Here is a 15244-nt window from a genome sequence, read left to right as displayed (position 1 = left end):
GGGAGGATCACTTGAGCTGGCAGGCGGGGTGGGGGAGTGGTGGGGAGTGGAGGTTGCAGTGAGCTGAGATCACTGCAGCCTGGGTGACTTTTATATATAGATTTGTTTTATGAAACTTGCCTGAAATCACTTACTTTAAAAATGACATAAAGTTCTACCTCTTGGGAGCTTGGTAAAAATAAAATTTCTCAAAGAAAAATTCAATGGGCACTACATCTCCAGTACCTAACAGTACTTGGCTCATAAAAGGCTCTCAATAAGCATTTGTTGAATGAATACTACTGAAGAATCTGGCTAATGCTGCACATATAAGCAGCACCACTGGAAATATAGAACAGGTTCTGAAGGCAAAGTCTGAGCAATTACTTGCAAAGTCACACCTGTGGCAACAGCCTTTGTTTGCTGCTGATATGTTGGGGCCATTTGCACATCAAGCTGGACACCATCCTACTTCTCAGAAGTCATCATCTATAATTACATCCTTCCTGAGAGTCTAAAAACACACATTAAACTAATAAATAAATTGAAGCATTTATGTTCTGTGAAAACAAAAAGGAAGTTATTTGAGGAGAGCGGTTAGTGTAGAAGGAAGCCAGGAAGTTTCATTGTTCTTGTTAGTCAGGGAAGACTTCCTGGAAGAGGTAATTTCAGGAGCCCTGAGAATGATGAGAGAAGATAGAGGTTGATTGGGGGTGTTCTGAGCAAGTGGTATGAGCTTAAATAAAACGTCAGAGACACAAGAGCAAGATGAATAACGGGAGTAGTGAATAACTTTCCAAAGAATAAAGGGCCAGTTTTGGAAGGTGTTTGACAGACTAGTTCAGGCACTTTCTGCAAAAGTAAAGGCCTTGAGTGCCTCTGCAAAGGTTGAATGTTGATGAGTCTGAGCTCTCAAAAGATGATCATTTTGGCCCCATCACTCCACTGCTTGGGCTCCCTCCTGCTCTGGCCTCCCAGTTACTTCTAGAGAGATTCCATGTGAGGCACAGAGTGAGCACGGCTGTATTTCATAGGTTCACTGGCACTGGGGTGCAGCAATACACAGTCTCAATGCCATCACACTTAAAAGTGGCTTCCTTAGAAAGAAACGAGGAAATGAGAAGGAGTCCACTTGAGTGAACCCCTCTACCTAGACCTCCCTTCCAAGTTGAGTGAAAGCCGCCCCTAAGAAGCCTGTGCTCCTTGAGGAACACCATCCGCAGGACACACTCCCTGCCAGGGAACACGTTGCCTGGGGTCTCTGGGGTCTGTCTTATGGTCTTTGTGACCATCCCTTTGTGACCAGGTGCATATACGGAGAAGTGGCTGGGAAATGGGCAGGAAGCCTGCATTATTTTCCCTGCTGCATCCACCACTACTGAGTAAGCAGCAAATTCCTGGAACTGCTTTTACTGTTTTCTGTGACTCTTATTAGGAACCACACTCATGAGTCATACAACCAGTAAGGCTTACCAAATATTTACCATGAGCAGAATCCTAAGCCAGGTCCCGAGAGGGCGCACATAAAGTCAAAACTGAAAGGAAGTCCCCAAAGTTATCTGATCCAGCTTCCTGCTTTCAGGTAGGTGAATGTCAATAAAGTGAGCTAGTTGTTAGAAGAAATATGCCTTGCGCTCAACCTCTCAGAAGGCTCAGGGGATGCCCCAAAGTGGCAAAACAATTGGAGAATGAGACTCACCTGCCAAGAGGAAAGACACTGAATTGATTCACCCCTGAGGAGAGCAGGTTAAGGTGTGGTAGTTTAGTTCTGCAGGAAAATCATAGGCAGAGCTCGAGGCCAACACTTCTCTGCCTCTGTTGGGGAAAGAACAAGAGGAAATGGGTTTGAAGAACAACATGTAGGACCAAAAATAAACGCAAAGAACTGCCGATCATCCGTGTTGTTAAGTCCTGGAACGCTGAAAGCAGTGCAGAGTCCTTCGTTAAAAGAAAAACAAAAACCAAACCTCAGGTATAATCTTGCCTAGACGCAAACCAAAAAAAGATCTAGGACAATCTCTCTAAGATCTATGTTATCAGCAGTTGCCTCTGGGTAAAGGGATTATTGGTGGTAACAATAACTGAATTATTTTCACTATGTATTAATTAAATATATAATTTATTATTAATGATCAATAATTATTGCTGTTTTCTGAATTTTTAAATTTTCTGTGGTGTCCCTTTTTATAATGAGAATCTTCATTTTTAGGAATCTCTTCTAGTCTTCTGTGACTTAAAAATTTATGATTCAATTTTTAATAAAGTCTGGAATCGCCTGGTATATAAAATTGTATCCATGCAAAATATAAAAATTCATGGCTACTTTTATATATAGATATGTTGTATGAAACTTGCCTGAAATCACTTACTTTAAAAAATGACATAACATTCTAGCTCTTGGGAACTTTGTAAATAATAATAATAATAATAAAATAATAATGATATAAAGGTGTATTTAGACTTAGTCTTTGTAAATCCCTTTATATTATGCAGACCACTGAAACTATCAGCTAACAATAATTACTCCAAAATCTGCCATCGGCTAACTAGCTTGAAGATACAAAAGTTCAAAATTCGGTGGAGTGTTGCCCACTTTGACTCACAATAAAAGTCAGACTTTTTTTTTTGAGACGGAGTTTTGCTCTCGTTGCCCAGGCTGGAGTACAATAGTGTGATCTCGGCTCACCGCAACCTCTGCCTCCCGGGTTCAAGTGATTCTCCTGCCTCAGCCTCCCAAGTAGCTGGGATTACAGGCATGCGCCACCACGCCCGGCTAATTTTGTATTTTTAGTAGAAACGGGGTTTGTCCATGTTGGTCGGGCTGGTCTCAAACTCCCGACCTCAGGTGATCCGCCTGCCTCGGCCTCCCCAAAGTGCTGGGATTACAGGCATGAGCCACTGCACCTGGCCAAAAGTCAGACTTTTAAAATAGATTTTTTGAAATGCTCAACACCACTAATCATCAGAGAGATGCAAATCAAAACCATAATGAGATACCATCTCATACCAGTAAGGATGGCTGTTATTAAAGTAAAAAAAAAAAAACCAGATGTTAGTGAGGTTTCATGGAAAAGGGAATGCTTATACACTGTTGCTGGGAATGCAAATTAGTACAGTTCCCGTGGAAAGCAGTTTGGAGATTTCTCAAAAAACTAAAAGTAGAATTACCATTCAACTCAGCAATCCATTACTGGGAATATACCCAAAGGAAAATAAATCATTCTATCAGAAAGATACCTGTATTCATATGTTTATCACAGCACTATTCACAACAGCAAAGACATGGAATCAACCTAAGTGCCCATTAATGGTGGATTGGATAAAGAAAATGTGGTACATATACACCACGGATTACTATACAGCCATGAAAAAGAATGAAATCACATCCTTTACAGCAACATGGATGCAACTGGAGGCCTTTATCCTAAGCAATTTAATGCAGAAACCGAAAATCAAATGAACTATCATGTTCTTACTTATAAGTGGGAGATGAACATTGGGTACACTTGGACACAAATATGGGAACAATAAACCCTGGGGATTCCAAAAGGAGTAGGGGAGGGAGGGGAAATGGGTTGAAAAACTACCTATCATGTACTATGTTCACTACTTGGGGGATGGGATTCTTAGAAACCCAAACCTCAGCATCATATAATTTACTCATGTACCAAACCTGCAAACATATCCCTTGGATCTAAAATAAATAAATACACAAGTAAAATACATTTTGTCGGTTGTTTTGCTACTGGTAGTTCATCTCCCACATCTAACTGACATGTATGTGGAAATCACTTCATAGCATGAGTTTATCAGCATTCTGAATAATTTATTCCTCCAATCTATCATATTAGTAATATTTCTGCTGAACAAGTTGGCAGTTTATCCAATACACCACTTTTGGTGGATATAGTCATTTGAGATGGAATTTTAACAATGTTCACTACGTGAGTTAGAATATTAATAAAAGAGGCCAGGCACAGTGGCTCACGCCTGTAATCCCAGCACTTTGGGAGGCTGAGGCAGGCAGATCACCTGAGGTTATCAGAAGTTCGACACCAGCCTGGTCAACATGGCGAAACCCCGTCTCTACTAAAAATACAAAAACTAGCAGGGCGTGGTGGTACACACCTGTAATCCCAGCTACTCAGGAGGCTGAGGCAGGAGAATCACTTGAACCTGGAAGGCGGAGGTTGCAGTGAGCTGAGATCGCACCACTGCACTCCAGCCTGGGCAACAGAGTGAGATTCCATCTAAAAAAAAAGACTATTAATAAAGGAAAGGCACTTCACCTACAAGTCAATAAAATAGATGTAAAGAAACAATAAGACACTTCTGCTCTGAATCACTGAGACCACCCAGTGGTTTCCCAGCTGTGTGCATTATGATACCAAACCATGCAGTCATTATATGACAGACGTTCTATAATCTGTTGTTAAGAGGAAGAAGGCAATCACTTCCAGTTGGAATGATCAAGAAAGTCTCCATAGAGGGAGCATTTGAGCCACATTTAAAGCGTAAATAGGATTTTGGTTGACAGCACTGTATTCAAAGAAAATGACATGGCCAAAATCGTGGAGGGAGGAACAAGCTAAGCTGGGAAATAGGGAGGCATTGACACAGCTGGATTAGGTAAATTTAAAGTGTGCCATATACGACTTAAAAGTCAGCCTAAAGTTTTGGATTATATTTGTCACAATATGGGGAATAATTGAAGGGTTTTGACCTAAGTGTGTGTCTAATTGTTTGTGGCACTGTCCCAGGTAGAGATACACAAGGAGAATTACCCATCTCTATTCAGATCCATTGGCAGAGGTCACTACATATGTAAAAACAAGACCAAAACCAAAACAAAAACAGGAAAAAACAAGGAAAAATAAAGCAATAAATTTGAATAATTATTAGGTTGGTATAAAGTAATTGTGGCTTTTGCCATTACTTTTATGGCAAAAAACCGCAATTACTTTTGCACCAACCTCATAAGCTATATCATTGGTAAAGTATCAATGATATATTTTTAAAAGTACAATTAGGGATAAAAACATAATTTGATAACCAATCTCACTAGAACTCAAGGAAATGCAAATTAAGATCACAATAAGATAACATTTTACACCTCCTAGATGGGCAAAAATTAAGAAATCTGACAATGGTTGATAGAACCACTAGACAAAAAAATCAGCAAGTCTATAGATCTCAGCAACATCATCAACAAACAGGATCAAATCTATATTTATAGAACACTCCACCCAATGACAGAAGAATATACATTCATTACAAGTACCCATGAAATGTATACCAAAATAGACTATATCCTGGGCCATAAGACAAACCTCAATAAATTAAAAGAATTAGAATCATACTGAGTGTATTCTCTGACCACAGTGGAATGAAACTAGAAATCAATAACAGAAAGGTAAGAGGACAACAAGATAACACTCTTCTAAATAATCCATGGGTCAAATAGGAAGTTTCAAAAGAAACTTTTTATAAAATGCCTTGAACTAAATGGAAATGAAAGCACAATATATCAAAATTTGTGCTACAGCAGTGCCAAGAGGGAAATTTATAGCACGAAATGTTTCAAAACTTTCACCACAAGAACCTAAAAAAGAAGAGCAAAATAAGCCCAAAGCAAGCAGAAATAAGAAAATAATATTAAGAGCAGAAATCAATGACGCTGGTAAAAAAAATAATAATAATAAAGCAAACCACTGAAACAAAAAGCTGATTCTTTGAAAAGATCAATGAAATTGATACACCTCTAGCAAGACCAACAAGGAAAAAAAGAGAGAAGACAAAGGACACTAATATCAAAAATGAAACAGGGACTATCACTAGAGAACTTGCAGATAACAAAAGGATAATAAAAGAATACTAAGGACAATGAAACACACATAGATTTGACACCTTAGATCAAATGGACCAATTCCTTGAAAAACACAAACCATCACAACTCACCCAATATGAAATAATTTTAATAGTCCTATTACAGCTAAGGGATTTGAGCAATATAAAGAATTCAGCAGTGTATATATATAAATTCGCTAGGTGCAGTGGCTCACACCTGTAATCCCAGCACTTTGGGAGGCCGAGGTGGGTGGATCACCTGAGGTTGGGAGCTCGAGACCAGCCTGACCAACACAGAGAAATCCCATCTCTACCAAAAAAAAAAAAAAAATACAAAATTAGCCAGGCTTGGTGGCGCATGCCTGTAATCCCAGCTACTCGGGAGGCTGAGGCAGGAGAATCGCTTGAACTTGGGAGGTGGAGGTTGCAGTGAGCCGAGATCGCGCCATTGTACTCCAGCCTGGGCAACAAGAGCGAAACTCTGTCTCAAAACAAAAAAGAAAAAAAATTTATAACTAAGCAGAGTGTATTCCAGGAATGGAAGTCTGGTTAAATTTTTGAAAATCAATGTAATCTACCATATTAATAGTCTAGAGAGGAAAAATCACATGATCATATCAATTGATACAGAAAAAGCATTTGAAAACAAAATCAACAATGATTCATGATAAAAATTCCCAGAAAAAGTAGGAATGGAGGGGAACTTCCTCAATTTGATAAAGGACAGCTACAAAAACCCCACAGCTAGTATTATTATACTTAATGATAACAGATGGAATGCTTTCTCCTCTAAGATCTGGAACGAGGCAAAAATGTCCACTCTCAGAAGTTTATTCAACATAGTGCTGGAAATTCTAGTTGGTGAAATAAGGAAAGAAAATAAAAGAAAAACTGTATAGATCAGAAAGGAAGAAATGAAACTGTCCTATTTGCAGATGACATGATTGTCTACACAGAAAATCCCAAGGAATGCACCAAAAACTCCTAGAACTTACAAATGAGTTTAGCAAGGTCACAGGATATAAGATACACCTACAAAAATCAGTTGTATCTCTCTATACTAGCAATGAACATGTGGACACATAAATAAAAATACAATACCATTTGCAATCACTCAACAAAAAGTGGTTGAGTGTAAACCTAACAAAACATGTATAGGACTTATTTGCTGAAAGCTACAAAACATTGATGAAGGATGTCAAACATATAAATAAAGAAGAGACACAACATGTCCATGGATGGAAGACTCAATCTGGCCAATTCGCTCCAGATTTATACACATATTTAATGTAATTTCTATCAAAATCCCAGTAAGTAAGTAAAATCCCAAAATACATATACACAAGATTATTTTAAAATGTATATGGAAAGGCAAAGGAATTAGAATAGCTAAACCAATCTTGAAAAAGAAGAAAGTAGAGAGACTCAGTCTATCCAATTTCAAGACTTATTATATAGCTATAGTGAAGACTGTGGGATATTGGCAGAGAGGTAGACACACAGATCAAGACCACACAGAATAGAGAACCCAGAAGTAGACTCACACAAATATGGCCAGCTGAGTTCTGTCAATGGTGCAAAAGCAATTCAAGGAGGAAAGATAAGTCTTTTCAACAAATGGTACTGGAACAATTGAGCATCCATGGGTAAAAGAAACAAACAACCAGCCAGGTTTGGTGGCTCATGCCTGTAATCCCAGCACCTTGGGAGACTGAGGCAGTAGATCCCTTGAGGCTAGGAGTTCAAGACCAGCCTGGCCAAAATGGCAAAACCCCGTCTCTACTAAAAAAACAAAAATTAGCCATGTGTGGTGGTGCATGCCTGTAATCCCAGCTATGTGGGAGGCTGAGGCATGAGAATTGCTTGAACCCGAGAGGCGGAGGTTGCAGTTTGAGCCTAAATCGGACCACTGCACTCCAGCCTGGGCAACAGAGTGAGACCCTGTCTCAAAAAAAAAAAAAAAAAAAAAGTAAGGAACATCCACCTAAGTCTCACGCTTTATGGAAAAATTAACATGGGTCACACACTTAAATATCAAATATATAACTGAAGCATTTAGAAAAACTAGGAGAAAATCTTCAGGATCTAGGGCTAAGCAAAGAGTTCTTAAACTTGACACCAAAAGCATCATTCATTTTTAAAAATGGATAAATTGGATTCGTTAAAATTAAAGATTTTGCCTTTTGAAAGATGTTGTTAAAAGGATGAAAAGACAAGCTATAAAGTGGGAGAAAATATTTGCAAACCGTGTATCTGACAAAAGATTAGTATCTTGAATATATAAATAACTCTTGGCTAGGCATGGTGGCTCATGCCTGTAATCCCAACACTTTGGGAGGCCAAGGCAGGAGGATTATTTGAACCCAGGAGTTCAAGACTGGGCAACATAAAGAGACTGTATCTCTACAAAAAGTAAAAAACAAAACAAAACAAAACAAAATTAGCCAGGAGTGGTGGCACACAGCTATAGTCCTTGCTACTTGGGAAGCCGAGGTGGGAGGATCACATAAGCCCAGGAGATTGAGGCTACAGCAAGCCGTGATTGCACCACTGCAATCCAGCCTGGGCAAAAGAATGAGACTTTGAAAAAAAACAAAAAAGCCTCTCAGAACTCTGAACTGCAAAACAGCAAGCAACATAATTATAAAATGCACAAAAGACATAAACATTTCATGAAACGGCATATATGGATGACAAATAAACACCTGAAAAGATGTTCAACATTAATAGTCAATAGGAAAATGCAATTTAGAACCATAATAAGATATCATTACACACCTATCAGAATGAATAAAATAAAAAATCATGACAATATCAAATGCTGGAGAGCATGCAGGGAAATTGTATCACTCACATATTGCTGGTGGGAATTAAAAATATACCTCCACTCTGGAAAACACATTGGCAGTTTCTTAGAAAACTAAATGTTCAACTACCAAGTGTCCCAGCAATTGCACTCTTGGGCATTTATCCCAAAGAAATGAAGACTTATGTTTACACAAAACTCTGTACCCAATTTTTTTTTGAGACAGAGTCTCACCGTGTTGCCCAGGCTGAAGTGCAGTGGTATGATCATGGCTCACTGAAACCTCCACCTCCTAGGATCAAGCAATCCTTCTGCCTCAGCCTCCTGAGTAGCTGGGTCTACAGACATGCACCACCGTGCGTGGCTAATTTATCTATTTATTTATTAGAGACAAGGTCTCACTATATTGCCCAGGCTGGTCTAGAGCTCCTGAGCTGATGAAATCTTCCTGCCTTGGCCTCCCAGAGTGCTGGCACTTACAAGCATGAGCCACCATGCCCAGATACACAAATGTTTATAGCAGTTTTATTTGTAATAGCCAAGAACTAGAAAACAGCCCAGATGTCCTTGACAAGGTTAAACACACTGTGGTACATCCCTGCCGTATATGGAATACTACTCAGCAACAAAAAAGGAGCAAACTATTGATACAGGCAACAACTTCCATGAAATCCTCAGAGAATTGTGAAGAAAAGCCAATCTCAAAAGGTTATGTGCTGTAGGATTACATTTATATAATGTTCTTGAAATGACCAAATTACAGAAATGGAGAACAGATTTGTGGTCACCAGGGGTAAAGGAGCGGGTGGGCAAAGCATGAGCAAGAAGTGGTTGCGACTAAGAAAGGGCAACAGGAGAGATCCTCGTGGTGATGGAAACGTTTTGTGTCTTGGCTGTATCAATGTAAATATCCTTTCTGATTGTCATATCATACAGAACATAGGTTTGCAAGATTTTACCATTGGGGGAAACTGAGTATAGGGCACATGGGATTTCACTGCAAGAGAGTCTACAAATATGTCAAAATAAAAAAGTTTAATTTTTAAAATGTGACAAAACTATAAACACAAAATTTAGGATAGACAGATGGGGGAGAAAGGGGCTGGAATAGTGAAGAGAACAGAGGTAAATAAAAGGGATTGTCAGTGTTCTGGTTCTTGGATTAGGTGATGAGTTTAGAGATGTCTGTTATATTATTAACAAACAAATGAGTAATAAATAAACACAAGAAGTATATTCATGAAACAACAATGTCAGAGTAGCAGGAACCAAGGATAAAGGTTAATCCAATTTTGCCTACGTGAGGTCTATTGGAGGGAAATAACAAACTGGCTCTGCTTTTTTGAAAAGAAGACTGAGATGCTAATTTTTTTTTTTTTCCTGAGACAGTCTCTGTTGCCCAGGCTGGAGTGCAGTGGCATGATCATTTCCTCCAACTCCTGGGCTCAAGCAATCTCCTGCCTCAGCCTCCCAAGTAGCTGAGATTACAGGTGTGTGCCATTTTTCATAGAGATGGGGTCTCACCATGTTGCACGGCTGATCACAAACCACTGGGCTCAAGCAATCCTCCTGCCTGAGCCCCTAAAAGTGCTGGGATTACAAGCGTGAACCACTGGCCTAAGGCTCTTTCTGCCCTAAACTATCAAAGAGCATGGGCTATTGTTAAGAAAGAAAAGAGATTTCTTGAAACAGCCCCAGGCATCCACTTTGAGTGTTAGGGGAACTACCAAAGTTGTTAGTGTCTTTCTAAGGAAATCCACTGCTGTCAGTAGAAGTCATTTGTGGTTTATTCATTCAGCAGATGTGTGACCAGGATTGTGAGCACAGCTCTGTGCCAGGCACAAGAAGTTGGAAATGGATCCAAGAAAATGCAAATCAGTTGTAGGTGGTAGTAGGTCCTACAGGAAATGAGTGAAATTATTTTTTTAAGTACGTCACAAATGGCACATATCTTATTCATGGTTTAAAACAGGATAATGAGCAATCTCTTCAGATACTACACTACTAGAATTCCTATGGTGTGGCATCATTTAGGGCTTCAGTAGAAACCAGCATTACATGATTTTAGCAAAAACACATTTTTGCTAGGCGCCTCTCCCTTAGAAACAAAATTGGGGAAAATAAGAAAAAATAAGTTATTGTTGGTTGTGGTGGCTCACGCCTGTAATCTCAGCACTTTGGGAGGCCAAGGTGGGTGGATCTCTTGAGGCCAGGAGTTAGAGACCAGCCTGGCCAACATGGCAAAACCCCGTCTCTACCAAAAATACAAAAATTAGCCGGGAGTGGTGGCGCACCCCTGTAATCCCAGCTACTCACGAGGCTGAGGTACAAGAATCGATTGAACCTGGGAGGCGGAGGCTGCAGTGAGCAAAGATCCCACCACTGCACTCTAGCCTGGGCAACAGAGCAAGACTCTGTCTCAAAAATAATGGTAATAATACTTTCTTAATTTTTGAATGAAGTATGCCACCATGATGCACGTAGAAGTCATTAAACATTCTCATGTGTACTTTGATAGTATGTGCTGGACCTCTTTTTGGGGTAACTCTTCTATCTAATCCAAATGTCACTTGCTGCAACATGACTATTTATTCATTATTGACCAATTAAAATTGTATTAAGTGCATGCTCTGCCTGAGTTTGAATCCCAGCCCAGTCACTTCTCTGGGTAACGTGGGCAAGTTTCTTCAATTGTCTGCGCTTCAATGCATCATTTCTAGTGCTGGTTATTACTACAGCTAGCACTGAGTTGGGAGGGGCCAGCATAATGAAGACATTGCCTTTGTCCTCATATGGTTTGTAATCTAGGAGGAGGAGACAGATTTGTAAATGAGGAGTATGTATATACATATTATAAAATCTGGAAGGATACACACAAAATTAATGACCAGAATTGAAAGTGATGATCATAGCTGGGCACGATGGCTCACCCCTGTAATCCCAGCACTTTGGGAGGCCGAGGCAGGCGGATCCCTTGAGACTAGGAGTTCGAGACCAGCCTGGCCAACATGGTGAAACCCTGTATCTACTAAAAATACAAAAATTTAGCCAGGTGTGGTGGCGGGCGCCTGTAGTCCCAGCTACTCAGGAGTCTGAGGCACAAGAATCGCTTGAACCCGGGAGGCAGAGGTTGCAGTGAGCTGAGATTATACCACTACACTCCAGCCTGGGCAACAGAAGGAGGCTCCATCTCAGGAAAGAAAAAAAAAGTGCTGATCACTTTCAATTTATCTGTAATGGTTAAATTCCATTTTATTCTGGGAATGCATTCATATATTTCTTTTAAAAAATGTTTTTCTGTACTTGCTTCCTTCACATATATTTCTTATTAAATAAAAACAAAATTTAAAAAACTTTATAACAAAGTAGAGTAGTGGAAAAAAGAAATATGTGGTTAATTCTACCTGATTGTCAAGGAAAGGCTTTCTGGAGGGAGAGATGTTGAAGCTACTTCTTGAAAGAGGAGTACGTGTTCATGAAGCCGACTGAGTTAGGGGTCGGGAAGGGATAAGCGTGGAGAAAAGAAGAGGGACCGAGAAAGACAAAAGCCATAGAGAGTAGAGACATCCTGGCATGGTCTAGAGGTTCCTAAGCAGTCCTTCTATTTCATGAGCATGAGGGTGAGGCGAGTCGGGGAAGGGAAAGTCAGAGCAGCCTCTAGAGAAAGCCTTGGAGGCCAAGCAGAGCCGCTGGGCTACATCCTGGCAGGATTTTAAATACTGGAGTCACATGACAAATTTGCAGGTCAGATGGGCCGGAGGCCCTTGAGAGCAGAAGGAAGGCCTGTCACAGGGCTGTTGCTGTGGCCCAGATGAAAGGAGGAAGGAAGGGAGGAAGGAGATGAAAGGAAGAGGAATAGAGATGTTGCGAAGACAGAAGTGAAGATGGACTCACTGTGAAGCTACTAACGTTTAAGCTTCAGCCCATCCACTTCCCAGGCCCTGGGAGGTGACACAGTACTGTGTTCACCTAGACAAATTTTATTTTGCAAAATTTGCAAAAGAAAGATATTTCGACTTCAATGAATTAAGATTGCTGTCTCTTTCCACTCCAGCCTTCCCTTTGACATATATTCTTTCAGGGCAGGTGGCATGGGTGGCCATGGGCATTTTTGAGAGAGAGAAGGGGAGTTGGATGAGTTTGCAGTGAGTTTGGGTTTCACTTGGGAGTAGAGTTGCTATTGCTAGGATACTGGTGAAAGCGAAGCTTCCAGGATACATACTCCTAACACACACCAAGCCAACTTACCTGGCATGGAGATGCCGAGGTGCAGGGCCAGAGGTGATTGGATATGAACATGTCCTACAGTGCCAAAAACAGAAGTAAGTGGGCAGTGGAGGTTTGAAATATATGCAGTGGAAGCTAGCTGGTGGCAGAGGCTTCCAATCATTAGATAAGTAAACATGTAGGATTCTGTTTGTTTTTTTTTTTTTTTGGAGACATGTGGTCTCACTTTGTGGCCCAGGCTGGTCTCTGAACTCCTGGGCTCAAGCAATCCTCCTGCCTCAGCCTCCCAAAGTGTTGAGATTATAGGCGTGAGCCACTGTGACTGGCCTGTATATACTCTTTGATGGGAATCATAGAAAATAGAACTGATTGGAATTCCTGAATTTTGGTGAGTGATCAGCAACTATACCTCTGGGTAGAATCAATCACATGATTTATGTAATCTCAAATATCAAAAATATAATTTTAATCAATTACAAGAGTGAGTTATCTTTCTATTATCTCTATAAAAATAACTTTCAAAAGCATTGTTATATGAAGAGGTGGTCAAAAAGCTTGCAGCCAAAAACAGACACAGTAGAGTGTGTTAGCCATTAATGAAAATAAGTATGCAATCTTCTGGAATTTTATATTTGCAATATTTTGTTAAGATTTATTTTCTCATTCTACTTAACATTTAACTTGAATATCTAGATTTGAATGATTTTTCTTAAAGAGGCGGCTCCTAGTAGTATCAGCTTTAGGCCCCACAAAACCTGGCTCAGCCCCAGAGTAGGTGCTATAGCTATAGAGACTGAGTGTGGGGTCTACAGAAAATGTGGCCATGCCCTCCACCCCAGTGGCTGGGCAGCCTTTGGCACAGGTCCCTGAGATGGTGCATGAAGAGGAGCACATTTGGTTTGATAATAAACTTAATGCTGAGTATGCCGAGTCTGAGATGTCTGTGGGATATCCCAGGAGAGGCCCAGGAGAGAGGTTGGTCTCCTTGGAGACAGGGAAGGAGAGGAAGAGGAAGGGAGGGAGAGGGAGGGAGCATAAGAGGGAAGGAGAGAGACGGAGAGAGGGAGAACACCAGGACAGAGAACCAGTCACTTAAACTTCCCAGTCTCTATTCCAGAACTTTCTATGGCCCAGGTAGAGTCACTTGCTGGCATCTCACCATGAATACCTTCTTTACTCTCTTCTTCCCCGCCACCCACTTTTTTCTCCTTCAGATTTTTCTTTTTTCCTCTATCCTTTTCCATAACCAATGCAATGCATGGAAGTAAGAGGATAATAACCTGACATAATGTGATTAAGTGTTCTCCCCCAAATCACTCCCCCATTCTTTAGCAGAGGTGAGATGAACACCCGGGTTTGACTTGCTTTCTTCCTAGTCTTTCCTCTGTGAAAGTGGGAGAGAAAAGCCTGCCAGATGAGAAGTTTGGTTGGAGCAAATGTGGTGATGCATTTTGGATTAGGCTGCAGAACTAAGGTTGCCTGCCCCTTGGGGAATCCTGGGCTCCAGGGACACAGCTTCAGGGAGTCAATGTAGAACTGCCTGTGGAAGTTGGATGGGGGCGGAGGGTGGGGAGGTCCCCATCGTATATTTATCTGTTCCTGATTTCTTCTCCTTCATCAGGATTCAACAAGTGATCTGAGAAACAAGTTGAGTTCTTCTGATCTGGAAATGTAGCCCACCTAAAAATGTTACCTAATTAGGTAGTACGATTTTCACACAGTGCTGGCAGGACTCTTAATTGCAAGGCCATTTGGTAATATGTGTCCAATACCTTGCAAATACAAATATTCCTTATTCTCAGCAATTCTATTCCTAGTGATTAAACCTAACACCTGTCTGGGTGCAGTGGCTCATGCCTGTAATCCTAACACTTTGGGAGGCTGAGGAGGGTGCATTGCTTGAGGTCAGGAGTTCGAGACCAGCCTGGCCAACATGTCCAAACCCCGTCTCTACTAAATATACAAAAATTACCTGGGTATGGTAGCGCGTGCCTGTGATCTCAGCTACTCGGGAGGCTGAGGCAGGAGAATTGCTTGAACCCATGACAGTGGAGGTTGCAGTGAGCCAAAATCATGCCACTGCACACCAGCCTGGGTGAGACTCCGTTTCAAAAAAATAAATAAATCCCAGCACTTTGGCAGGCCAAGGCTGGCGGATCACAAGGTCAGGAGTTCAAGATCACCCTGGCCAATATGGTGAAACCCTGTCTCTACTAAAAATACAAAAGTTAGCCGGGCACGGTGGTGGGTGCCTGTAGTCCCAGCTACTTGGGAGGCTGAGGCAGAAGAATCACTTGAACCTGGGAGGCAGAGGTTGCAGTGAGCAGAGATTGCGCCACTGCACTCCAGCCTGGGCAACACAGCGAGACTCCATCTCAGAAAAAA

The 15244-nt window shown here is 41.0% G+C and overlaps 1 annotated feature.

Annotated features, from left to right (window-relative positions):
• Positions 10060-10613: an enhancer, noted in NCBI's record as "NANOG hESC enhancer chr1:212885887-212886440 (GRCh37/hg19 assembly coordinates)". NCBI's record gives its function as "activates a minimal SCP1, AML or CMV promoter by ChIP-STARR-seq in naive H9 embryonic stem cells {active_cell/tissue: H9 hESC(naive)}" and the evidence as "EXISTENCE:reporter gene assay evidence [ECO:0000049][PMID:30033119]".

This window comes from Homo sapiens, chromosome 1 (assembly GCF_000001405.40).
Source record: "Homo sapiens chromosome 1, GRCh38.p14 Primary Assembly".
NCBI lineage: Eukaryota > Metazoa > Chordata > Mammalia > Primates > Hominidae > Homo > Homo sapiens.
This window is presented reverse-complemented; position numbering and strand designations above follow the sequence as displayed.